At 52.0% G+C, this 11,994-nt stretch overlaps 1 protein-coding gene across 3 annotated transcripts in view, besides 3 other annotated features; it reads left to right on the top strand.

Moving 5' to 3' along the window:
* Positions 4,737-5,702: an enhancer, noted in NCBI's record as "H3K4me1 hESC enhancer chr16:71392357-71393322 (GRCh37/hg19 assembly coordinates)". NCBI's record gives its function as "activates a minimal SCP1, AML or CMV promoter by ChIP-STARR-seq in naive H9 embryonic stem cells {active_cell/tissue: H9 hESC(naive)}" and the evidence as "EXISTENCE:reporter gene assay evidence [ECO:0000049][PMID:30033119]".
* Positions 4,805-5,034: a silencer, noted in NCBI's record as "silent region_7677". NCBI's record gives its function as "represses an Ori minimal core promoter by ATAC-STARR-seq in GM12878 lymphoblastoid cells {active_cell/tissue: GM12878}" and the evidence as "EXISTENCE:reporter gene assay evidence [ECO:0000049][PMID:35858748]".
* Positions 5,006-11,994, top strand: part of CALB2 (calbindin 2) — a 31,711-nt gene continuing 24,722 nt past the window's right edge. For all 3 annotated transcript variants that reach the window (NR_027910.3, NM_001740.5, NM_007088.4), the window contains exon 1: positions 5,006-5,169. Coding sequence is in view for 2 of the 3 variants with exons in the window: in NM_001740.5 (NP_001731.2) it covers positions 5,076-5,169 (94 nt within the window). In the remaining variant the exon portion in view is untranslated. The remainder of the gene's footprint in view (positions 5,170-11,994) is intronic.
* Positions 6,729-7,023: an enhancer, noted in NCBI's record as "tiled region #14967; HepG2 Activating non-DNase unmatched - State 20:ReprD, and K562 Activating DNase unmatched - State 8:EnhW". NCBI's record gives its function as "activates a minimal TATA promoter and a strong SV40 promoter by Sharpr-MPRA in HepG2 and K562 cells {active_cell/tissue: HepG2 | K562}" and the evidence as "EXISTENCE:reporter gene assay evidence [ECO:0000049][PMID:27701403]".

Below are 11,994 nucleotides of genomic sequence, written 5' to 3' on the forward strand. Positions count from 1 at the left end.
TGTGGAATTCTGGAGCCTGAGCCCTCAGCCCCTGTGTCCCTGCTTGCGGAGGGAGGATCACCCAACAGCCCCCAGCTACTGCTATTTCACCTCCTGTTGCTATCCTGGTGACCCAAATCCTTTGCACAGAGGGAGCTGTCCATAGATCTCAAGTTTCAGACCGGGTTATTCACAAGTCCTGCTTCCACCTCTGGGTTCCTCTGGTTTCTCTATTTTCTCCACCACCTCAGTCCGTTTCCATGGAAACTGCTGGGCTCCTGCATCCCTTTCATCCTCCTTTCTGGGAAGCAAGGCCAGCTCTCCAGCACTCCGGTAGCCAGGCCTGACCATTATAAAAACCAAAGAAGCAATATCTGGAAGAAACACTTCTAGGCATAGGGAGGTACCAGGTCAGGCTTCGTATTTTTTCCTTTGAAGTGCTCCAAAATAACACCAGGTGCTCTAAGGAGCTCAGCCAATTACCGAAGCCCAGTGGATCCTGGCTGGAAAGTTGTTTGTCATCTGTCCTCTGACATCTCACCACTTCAGTCACCAAGCCTCCCTCCCTTCTTGAGGGAGTGATTCTAGGGTCCTGGGGCAGAGGGACAGTTGGGCAAGTCTCCCTGCCAATCCTTGGTGTCAGATCACAGCACTCAAATGAGCTGGTGGGCTGGGGATGCGAAAGTGAAGGTGGTCCCCAGTTTGCCCTTCTGGTGGAGGGAGGAACCAGCCATCAGAGAACTGGTGGGTAAACAGTGGGCTTGGCATTACTCCTTAACGCTGGGAGGGGCCCTGTGGCTCCAGTGGCCAGGGTCCGGGAAGAACTTTATACATAGTGCCCAGGAGCTTGGCACCTGGTCCACAAAGACTCCATATACCATGGAAACTGGAGGGGACAAAGTGTTCTTGGTACCCCACCCCTCCCAGGTCTTGGTTGGGTGTTAATCTCTCTGAGCCTTGATTTCCCTATCTTTGGAATGGGTCAAATTCTTGCATTGCACACCTGATAGGGGAGTTGTGAGGACCAAACAAAGCAAGACACATCAAAACCCTCTGTAAAGGCATTTAAAGGTATCCTCACGGTTATCGCCATCATTGTCGTCATCATCATCATTATCATTATTGTAATAAAACTCGAGGGGAAGTCCTGGAAGGGAAGCAGAACCCCAGACATCTGAAATTACTTACAAGAGCCTTAATTCACGGAAATGTGCTCATAAATGTTCCGTCTTTACCGTCACTGCTTTAAAATACGCTCATCGAACCTCTCTTTCCTATCTCTGAATGATTTCTTATCTGAGTCCATGTTTCTCCTCACACATTTGGTTATTGAAACTTGGACCAGTCCAGCTAAGACTCCAGTCTCTTCTCCAATGCAAAGCTCTTCTCCTTTCCCATTGCAAACTGGACAAGGAGCTTGGGTCTGGAGCTGAGCCTGGAGAGAAGGGATGGCTGGCTCTAAGACATCCCCTCCTGGTAGGGCAGAGGGAGCTGCAAGGAGAGATGAGGGGCGGGAGGTCTTCCTACCTCTCTGGTCGCTTGCAGGTTGTAAGAGCATCCCAGGCTTTGGCTCCCGCTGCTGATCTCTGAGGAATTTGAGGGCCTGTGCATAGTGGAGTGAAGGTTTTTTGGAGCGGTCTTCAGCTCCGCTCTAGCTTCCTCAACACCGAGGATATCATAAACACCAGCAGGTATCTGGCTTCGGCCCCCTCTTTAAACTATATGCACCTTTCCCAGGAGCCATAGCAACCCCCAAGGGCTGCCGAGAACCATGGTGGCTCCCATCTTCCTTCTAGACGCAGGACAGGGCAGTCTAAGCTGCTTTCATAGGCCATCAGACAGCTCTGAGTCAGAAGCAAGCGCCAGTCCCAACTCCATATGTGGCCCAAACTCCAGAACACTGCTCACCCCAGCCCACTCTGGAGCCAGGTGACATCTCCAGTTCCTCCTTGCTGCTGAAATCCCCCACAACCTGAAGGGGATTTCTGGGGGTTCCTCCAACAAAACTTGACTTCAGGACAGCCACAAATGCTGCACTCCCAGAAGGCCAATGCTCCTCTCTCCCGCACCCAGACATCTCCCCTGATAATCCCTGGCCTTGGTGGGTGGTGGCGGGCAGGCTGAGCAAGCCAGGAAGACACGAGGCATCTGATTGCTGTGATTCCAGATGTGGCCTAACTGCCACTATTTCAGAACAACAAGAAAAATCCCTCCTCACATCCTTGCATTGGTAAGAATACCTGCCTATTAATTAAGCACTTACGGCTGCTGGGGTTCTTGCTAGCTAACCCCTTGATTACATTCTTTTTGGTGCTTCCACTGACTTTGTGAAACTAATTACCTTGATTTTTAGAAAGGTTCAAAGAGGTTAAATAGCTTTGCCCAAGGCCTCACAACCAGCAAGAGGGTTTTGAGCCCATATCTATCTGACTCCAGGGCAGGAACTTGTAACTGCTCAATGTGGCTGTTTCTGCAGGACTCAACTTGGAGATAAACCACAAACGCACCAGCTTGGGCTCCTCAGTCCTCCAGGAATGGGCCTCCCAGAAACAGACCAACTGTGCATCTGAAATGAACGAGGCAAGACTGTCCCAGTAGACAGTTTAAAGGTCACTGTGGCCACCCTACTGTCATACCCAGAACCATGTCCCCCTGATCTCAACAGCTCTGGAAAGCAGGAAGTAGGAGCTTCACTCTTTACTCCTCACCAGGAAAACCAAAGTAGCATGGAGACACTGGCTTTGCTTCTTGGAGAAGCAGGGATGAGCTCTCTCACCCAACACAGATTTGGGACAGGGGCCTGAATGACAGGTGTCAGAGCCCACAGGGCTGAGCCTGGCCCCGTGGGGGGCTGTGCAGCGCAGTGGTTAAGAACTTGTGTTCTGGAGACAGTATCTGTCTTAGCCTTTCCCGTTGGCCTCCCGTTGGGGTCAGCCCCTCCAGGATCCATTCATTAGCTACCCCAGGGGAGGTGATGCTGACTGAGAAATTTCTTGCCAAGCCAACCACTGATCACTGGCTCCATGAAGGGCGGCAGGAGCCCTAACTCATTTAATCCTCAGAACAATTATATTATTATTATTATTACTATTATTAGAGACAGAGTCTCGCTCTGTCGCCCAGGCTGGGGTGCAGTGGTGCGATCTTGGCTCACTGCAACCTTTCCGCCTCCCGGGTTCAAGCGATTCTCCTGCCTCAGCCTCCCAAGTAGCTGGGATTACAAGCATGCACCGCCACGCCTGGCTAATTTTTTTTTTTTTTTTTTTTTTTTTTTTTTTAGTAGAGACTGGGTTTCACCATGTTGGCCAGGATGATCTCAATCTCTTAACCTCGTGATCTGCCCACCTCGGCCTCCCAAAGTGCTAGGATTACAGGCATGAGCCACGGCACCCAGCCAACAATTCTAAAAGGCGTATGCCCACATGCCCATTTTGCAGAAGAGAAAAACTGAGGCAGAGACAGGTTATATAATTTGCTCAAGGTCACACAGCTTATTCTGGGATTCACACCCAAGCAGCCTGATTCTTGAGTGCCTACTCTTAACCACTGAGTCATCCTGCCTCCCTAGGGACTTTGGTGAATCTCTCAGCAAGGTGGATGGGTACCTCTAAAGCTAGCTTTTGATGACTTCTCCCCCCAGTCTGTTCCTGCAAGTAACTCTAAACACATTCACCCTAGGCAAAGAACAAGTGGTTTTGGAACCTGCATTCTCTATTGCCCCTTTGAGACTCGCTCTGGGCTTGGCCCTCTCTCCAAGGGACAACCCTCTCTCTGTCTCCTCCTGGGTTCCCCTCTCCCCCAGCGACCTCCTTTTCATTCTCACTTACCTCCTTGCCTTTCACTCTCCTCTTGGAAGGTGGTTCAGCTAACACTCATTAGCACATGTTAAAGATCGCCAATTCATGTCTCAGTCACTCCGTAGCAGGAGAGGGGAGAAAGGAGGGATGATGCTGTCACTCTGTGGGTAATGTGTCTTACCTTACCACACCACAAGGCCAGGACAGACCCCTAAGGGCTCAGACCGCAGGAGAGAATGGGGAGAGGGCCCAGCTCCCTGCTGGGGAGTCCTGTCTGCTGCCCTCAGGATGTGCGCTCAGTAGCTGCGTCTATTTTCTCTGAGACCAGCTCAGAACATCCCCAAGACAGAGTTGGACGTTGTTCTCTGTCCACTGGAGCAGGCACATTCCCACGATGTCCCTAGGTGGGCGTGGTTAAGACCTGGTACGGGTTGATCTAGTTCTGCCACCCCCTGGCCAAATGTCTAAAAGCCCCCCAGAGCATGGCCAGCGTGAGGCAGGTACCAGGGGTGGAGGGAGGCTCCGAGGGGACGGATATACGAAGACCCAAACAGACAGTGGAAGCCCCCCACCCCCACCCCACACCACTTCCATCGGAATCCTCCCGGGGCACTGCTGATTCCAGCTGCTCCCCACTAAAGCCTTGAGAACTCTTGGCTGCTCTGCAAGACTGAGCCCCATGAAGGAGCCACGTGCGGCGTGGAAAGAGTGCTGAGTTCAAATTGTAGCCCTGCCACTAATTTGCTGGGCCAGTCACTTAATCATCTGAAGTCACAAGTACCTCATCAGAAAAGTGGTCCCAGCTCTTCCTGCTGTGGAAGGATCAGAAGAGAGGAGGCACGACAGAGACCTAGTGAACTCCGAAGCCCGAGTGCTAAATATTTGTCAAGTTTGTGTTAGTATTACTATTAGTGTTGTTACTGCTGTTATTATTATTGCTACTGCCAGCAATAATAAGTGGTGGATGTACTCAAGACGGTCGGGAGGGAAGGCAAGGGCAGCCTCTCCCTCATTTTCACCGAAAATCCTCCGGGTGTCCCTGGCCCCGCGCCGAGGGGTCTCAGCGCAGAGGTAAGGGCCCTCTAGGAGTCCGGGCCGAGCCTCTCGCGCCGCCGCCCCCGCCGCGCCGCGCCCCGGTCGGATTCCCTGAGCGCGCGCGCCCCCTTCTGGCGGCCGGGCGCAGGCGCAGGCTCCAGAGCGTATATAAGGGCAGCGTGGCGCACAACCCCAGCGCGAGTGCCAGAGCCCAGCCGGCGCGGAGCGGGAGCGGTGCAGGCTGAGGTCTCCGAGCGGCTCGCCATGGCTGGCCCGCAGCAGCAGCCCCCTTACCTGCACCTGGCCGAGCTGACGGCGTCCCAGTTCCTGGAAATATGGAAGCACTTTGACGCAGACGGTCAGTAAAGCTCCCAACTTCTGTGCCCATTGGCACCCAGGGGACCTGCGGTGAAGGGGGCAGGGGGCGGCGCTGAATGCGGGCAGGTGTACGTTTGCCCTCAGGAGGTGGTCTGGTCGCAGAGCCTGCTGGGGTAGTGGTCCCGGGTTTGGGAGACATCCGGCTGCTCTGGGCACAACTGTCAGTAACTTTCTTCCCTAACATAGATGACCCAGAGCCCACCCGCATTTGCACCTTTATTCTGAGCAAGTGGGAGCTTTCTCAGAGAGGTGGCCTGGGCTGGGAAGGCCTCCAGGTTCCCCCTGCCATCTCCCCCACCTCCCCTGCCTTCAGCTGCTCCAGCCACAGGTCTCAGAAGACCACTCATTTCTTTCCTCCTCTTCCCCTTTTGTTGAATGCTAGGTTAGCCCCCTTACCCTGCTGGAGGCTGGGATAAATTAGGGGATCCTGAAGGGAAACGTGGCCTCCCCAGCTTGATTGGCTGGGAGCAGGAGTGGAAAATGGCATTGGGGGCCCTGAACACCCCCCTGCTTCCTTTGTCCATTTTCCAGCCGCCGTGGGCATGTAGGTTTCCCAATACAGCAGCAGTGGGTGTGGTGGCGGGCAGCGTTGGGGTGCCAGTCCCAGACCTGTTCCCTCATAGTGATAATCCTGGGTACTCTTGGTGACTTCATCTCTGGGTAGGGGGAGGCACCACCCTAAGTGCCTCAGTGACTAACCCTCTGCTCTGTGTGGTCTTGACACTGACTCACCCAAAAAGCAAGGGCCAGACCAAATGACCTTTGGAGGTAGCCCCCAGCACTGGGATTCCAAGTGTCTGTGGTGGTCTGACTCAGGCATAAAGGGTGGTCCTCCTTTAGAGGCTTTTGATATCACTAGAGACTCTGTTTCTGTTACTCCGAAAAAATAAGTGATCTGATTTCCCTCTCTACGCACAGACCTGGCTAAGATGAGCATCCAAAATATCCTGGCATCTCAGACATTTTGTGGTGTCTGTAGCTACCCTCCCCTCGGGTAGCTAATGGCTCCTGGAGGGGCTGACCCCAAAGGGAGGCCAACGGGAAAGGCTAAGACAGATGCTGTCTCCAGAAGACAAGTTCTTAACCACTGCACTGCACAGCCCCCCAGGGGGCCAGGCTCAGCCTTGTGGGCTCTGACACCTGTCATTCAGGCCCCTGTCCCAGATCTGTGTGGGATGACAGGGAGTTTATCCTGGGGTCTGAGAGCAAGGGGGATGGAAAACAGAGGGGCATCAGGTGTGCCTCACTCCATTCTTCCCTCCTCCCTTCCTCGCCTTGGCAGGGTGTGGAGGTGGCTGGGCAGAGATCCTCTGCCCAGAGTGCTATGGGGAGGCAGGGGTTAATGTCTGGGGATGCTAATGGGTGAAATTTTGTTTCCTTGGAGCCAACTGAGAAAGCTAGAGGGGTAGGGGACTAGGCATTTGAATACCTGAGTTAGGACTGTGATCTGCCTATGAATTACTGATGGAAGTGGGTAGATTGTTAAATCTGTAAAATGGGGCTAAGGAGGGATTGTGTTTCCAATCCCCAGCTCCTGCCATAAAATTCCCTTGGTACAAAGTGCTCTCCTAAGAGAAGTGCAGCCTTTTAGTATTCCAGATGACATGCACATTCCCTAAGGAGGCTCCTGCCAGTTTATCTGCACCAGACTTGCATGATTCAAGGAAAGTTACCAAGCAGCCAAGGTTACACCACTGGCTTCCTGGTAGATGAGTCAGCTATAAACAGAGGACTCTATAGTTCTACTTTCCCCCATTCTCAGAGGGACAAGCAAGAGCACTGTCCATAACCACGCAGATCCTTACGTTGATCTGAGACATTGTACTTAAGCACAATTGCACCTTCTCAAGGTGTGAGGCTGCTGGGCAGACCATGACTCCCCTTATACAGATGAGGAAACAGACACAGGGGTTGACTTTTCCGAGGTCATGGAGCAAGTTACTGGTGGGGCTGGTTCCTGGCCAGCGTTTATTCTCCCACTCTGGTTCCTGAACACCTGCTTGGTTTGGAAGAGGGTTTTTTTCCATGATGATAGGTATAAGTCTCCCTCCCATTCCCCCAAAGAAAAGCCCCCAGCCCACCCTTGGGGTTGATGGGCAGTTTCGTGTATCCCAAAATGGGGTCCTTGGCTTGGCTAGAGTGTAGTTAAGCTACCACCAAACCCATGATCTTCAAAGCCTCCTAAAGCCATTGTGCCTCTGGCTCCCTCCTGCTCCGGGGTGAAGGGGGAGCTTGATGCTTGCACCTTCTTCCTTGTCCATCAGACTTCCACTGCCATCTCTACATCACAGCCTCAGGGAAGTCCCAAGGAAAGGCCATGGACCCGACAGAGAAGGAGGGCCATGAGGATTAAAATACCAGAGATGAGAGAGAGGTGACTTAGGAAGATATGTATACAGCCAAATCGGAATTCCACAAAAGGATCCAGAATTAGGCTTTGGGCGACCTTCCTCCCCTCCTGAACACCCAAAGGCTGCCAGGTGAGCCCAACACCGCAGTGCCTGAGGCACTCCCAGCCCTGTTTAGGCCTCTCTCCTACCAATTCTGGTTTCCGTTTTCAACATGGGGTTTCTTCCCAATTCTAAGAGTACCCCCTACCACTCACAATCTTAAAAACACCTGAGAGAACTCTCCCTTGCAGCTCTCCAGGTCCCTGGAGTGGGCTCGCTGGAGCCCAATTAACCACAGCCCCCAGAGAGTTGGAGCCACCTCCCCACCCCTTCTGGATGCTGGCTGGTAGTAAACAAAGACAAAGAGACCTTAGGAGGCAGCTGAATCCCAACGAGAGGGAGGATGGGGGCAGGAGGACCCTTAGCCCATTCCAAAACAGAAAAAGCCACCATCACCCTAAAGAGTTGGATTATTTTCAAAATTCTTATTAGCTTTGTGGTAGAGAAAGGAAGAAGTGTATGTTTGGAGAGTGAGAAACTAGGACTCAAAGAGGCAAAATTCTTTTCACAAGATCACACAGCAAAGCAGGAAGAGGTGAAGGGGGAACCAGGAATCTGGTCTCCTAGTCCGCAATACCACTCCACCAACTCTGCCTCAGCAGTCAGCCAAGAGCATGCGTTTGGGAGGGTTCCAATGTTGTCTCTCAAAGGCTGAGGTAGGGAAGATGACAGCCAAGCCCACCCAGTGACCCTGGTGGGGTCTAGGGCTCTTCCGAACATCACCTCCATGCTCCGAGTGGCCCTGACGTGGCCTTACGTATCTGAGCCCATTGCTCTGTTGCTTCCTGGACACTTCTGTATCAGGACCTTTCCCCCTCTAAAGGATCCAGGTGGCTGAGGGATGCCCAGTTCAGAGTTCACACTGTCCTTTATTTATGGTTCTGATTAGACAGGCCACCGGGCTCCTATTTTACTGACCATCTGCGAGCAGCAAAGTTGTGGCTCCAAAGAGAAATGCCTTAGCTTTTGCTACCCCTTTGAAAGCAACTAAGAATGTAAAGATAAGATGAGTTCTCTTCCAGGGGCAAGCAGACATTCATGGGGCCAAGGTGAACATCCTACTCCCTTCCAAGAATCTAGCCTACATAGATATACTCGTATGTGCGCAGAAAGTTATATGAACAAACATGTCTATTACAGTGTTCTTCGGAAATACTAACAATTTCAGTGGGTGGAGGGGAGAATGTGCTTCACTGGGGGACAGAAAAATAAATATGGTCATCCCTATGATGGAGTATGATAGAGCGAAGTGAAGCTTTTGTAGTGACATGGAAAAATGTCCAAGATGTATTATTAAGATATTGTTTAAAACTGTAGCTGAACACTATTATAAGCCCGTTTTTATTATGAATGATATATGTATGTTGCAGGATATTTAGAAAAATACAACTGAATAATAGCGGCTCTCTCTGAAGAGTGGATGAGCCAAATGAAAGGGGATTTTCTTTTACTTTCTAAGTTAATTTCCATAGCACTTGAAAATTTTACAAGAGCATCTATTTCCTGTGTAGTCAGCAAAACAATAAAGATATAAGAAGGGAGGCCAGGCACAGTGGCTCAGGCCTATAATCCCAGCACCTTGGGAGGCCAAGGCAGGAAGATCACTTGAAGCCAGGAGTTCGAGACCAGCTTGGGCAATACAGTGAGACCCCCCCTCCCCCTACTACAAATTTAAAAATTAAGCAGGTGTGGTGGCGCACGCCTGTAGTCCCAGCTACTTGAGAGGCTGAGGCAGGAAGATGGCTTGAGCCCAGGTAGTCCAAGCCTGCAGTGAGCTATGATTGCACCACTGCACTCCAGCCTGGGCAACAGAGCCAGACCCTATCTTTAAAAAAATAACTAACTAAATAAATAAAGATATAAGAAGAAAACAATGTGATAGACACCTTTTCTTCCCTTGTAAGAAATATGTATATGTCTCCAGGTGGGGGGATCTGCCTATACTCTTCTGGGCTTCTGTCCACCTCCAAGTGGCCCAGGTGACGTAGGGGGTGCTCAAAGCCTCTCACAGGGACTGAGTCCTGTTCCTTATCTATGTGGACCCTGAGGATTTTGAAAATAACAACAGAGGCCACAAAGGGCTGAGGATGGCTCTACGCAGGCTCCCATCCTCGCCCTCTGAAACCCAGTGACCTGGCAGAAGTCTTCTCCAAGCCCACACAACACTGAGGACCACTCAGGGCCAGACTGCAGTGCCCAGGCAGGCTCTTCCAGGGCACGGGTCACTGCTCATTTGTTTGTCCCTGGTTTAGGGAATGGGGAGGAAATTTAGAACAGCAGCACCTCTCAGAGATGAACGGGAACCTGGGCAACTGGCCCTGGGCGGCTGCATGAGAGGTCCTGCAATACCAAAGTGAAACACATGCTGAAATAGGGTCACAAAATATGTGATGTATATTAAGTGTTTATATAAATGACACAACAGTTACAATGCTATAAGGTAATCATAGGATTTATCAAAACGATTGGGTCTTGGCCCATTAAAATCAACAGGGTCCGACACTGGGAACCAAGATTAAAGTTGTCAGAGGAGCGCTTTCTCTGAACCCTGTTAGTGAACCTCTGGGGGTCTGTATACCTCTCAGCTGGGCGTGGCGTGATGTCAGGATATGAGGCTCTCAGGGAACAGCCGCCTGACCCATCTGGGGTAGGCCCTGGAAAATGTCCCCCACCCCTGCCTCTGCTCCCTCCCCCAACTCCCCAGTTTTTTCACTAACAGCGTCCTTGGGTTGTGGAGTGTCCACGTGCAGCAGCTCTACGCTGGGTACCTCCAGGTGGGCTCTTGCCTGCTATGGCTCTGCTTCTCAGACTCTGATTGCACCAGCCGGCAGCGGGGAGCAGCTGGTCTGTGAAGAGCTGGGGCTCCCCGGGGGAGCCCGCCTAAGGGACCCGTTTCACAAACAAGATGCCAGCCCTGCATTGCCTTGATATTGACAGCCAGGCCGGCTGTCCCTGCCCTGCTCAGCTTGTATATTCCCCTCCAGACTTCAGCAGCTTTACCAGCCAAGCCCCTGAGGGAGGTTTCCAGGGCTAAGGAGACCCCTCAGGGAAATCAATTCCAAAACCAAAGGAGCTAGAATTAATAGAGCAGGCCTGAGGCTCTTCAAGAACAGTGCCTCTCCAGCCCCAGCCTGCCGGCGGATTGCATCCCAGGCCCTCCTTTGCCAAGCCGGCCCATCTGGGGCCTCTGGCTTCAGCCCTCCCTCTGTCCTTGTTGGCTCTTCACTATCTCCCCTCTCACCCAATCTGCCCTATCCTTCTGGCCTCCCTCATGCCTGGGACTCAGCCCAGCATTAGGCTGCCAGATGTCCACAGGTTCAGGGGACCCAGCCCAGCTCCAGAACCACGGGTCCAAAGCAGCACAGCCCAGAAACATAGATTGAAATTCAAGTGCCCAAACATTCAGCTGGTGGCTGGTAGCTCTTCACTCTGGGGCTTATTCTTTTTTCCAGAAGCCACTGGAAGAAGCGTGTGTGTGTGTGTCAGAGAGAGAAGCCAGGACAAATGCAGATATGGACAGACATTGTCCCTGGGACAAATAGAAGGAGGCCAGGACCTCTGTCAGCTGTGGCTGAATCTCCTTCCCCCTCCGATTCCTCCTTTCTAAGATGGGGTTGATAACTGCTTACCTGGCAGGGTCGTAAAGAACAGATGAGGTGGGAAGTGGAAAGCTTTTTGGGAATGGTGCGCACCAAGCAAAGCAGGATTAATACTGGGGCAGAGCCTGGGGAAGCCAATTTCTTACCCCAAAGGGTAGGATTTGACTGTCCCAGAGGGTGCTCCAGATGGAGGTTAGAGGACTGTTTGCCTTCGATAAATCTGAACTCCAGATAGACCGACAAGCGGCCTGGCCTCCTGGATGCCTTCTGGTGCAGCTTAACGAGGAAATTCCTTAACGAGGAAATTCTGGTGCAGCTCAAGGAGGAAGGTGCGAACCTTCCCTCCTTTGACCTCTCTAATCTATGGACTGCGAGTGCTACACAGACTGGTGCACTAGAAGCGACTGGACGCAACATCTTGAGTGTGCTGAAGGGCTGCTTAGAACACAGGCTTCTGCACCCCATCCCCAGAGACTCAGATTCTGTAGTCCTTAGAATTTGCATTTCTAAGAAGCCCCCAAGTGACACTCATATGTCTGGCCTAGACCAAAATTTGAAAACCACTGAGCAAATGCGTCTCAGATTTTAGCACACTGATGAATCACCAAGACAGTGTGATCCATAGATTGTTGGGCACCACCCCCCAGAGAAAGATTCAGTAGGTCCAAGGTGGGCCTGGGATTCTGCATTCCTAACAAGCACCCAGGTAGTTCCAATGCTACTGGTCCACAGACTGCACTTTGAACAGCACGGCGT

The sequence above is a fragment of the Homo sapiens genome, chromosome 16, assembly GCF_000001405.40.
Source record: "Homo sapiens chromosome 16, GRCh38.p14 Primary Assembly".
NCBI lineage: Eukaryota > Metazoa > Chordata > Mammalia > Primates > Hominidae > Homo > Homo sapiens.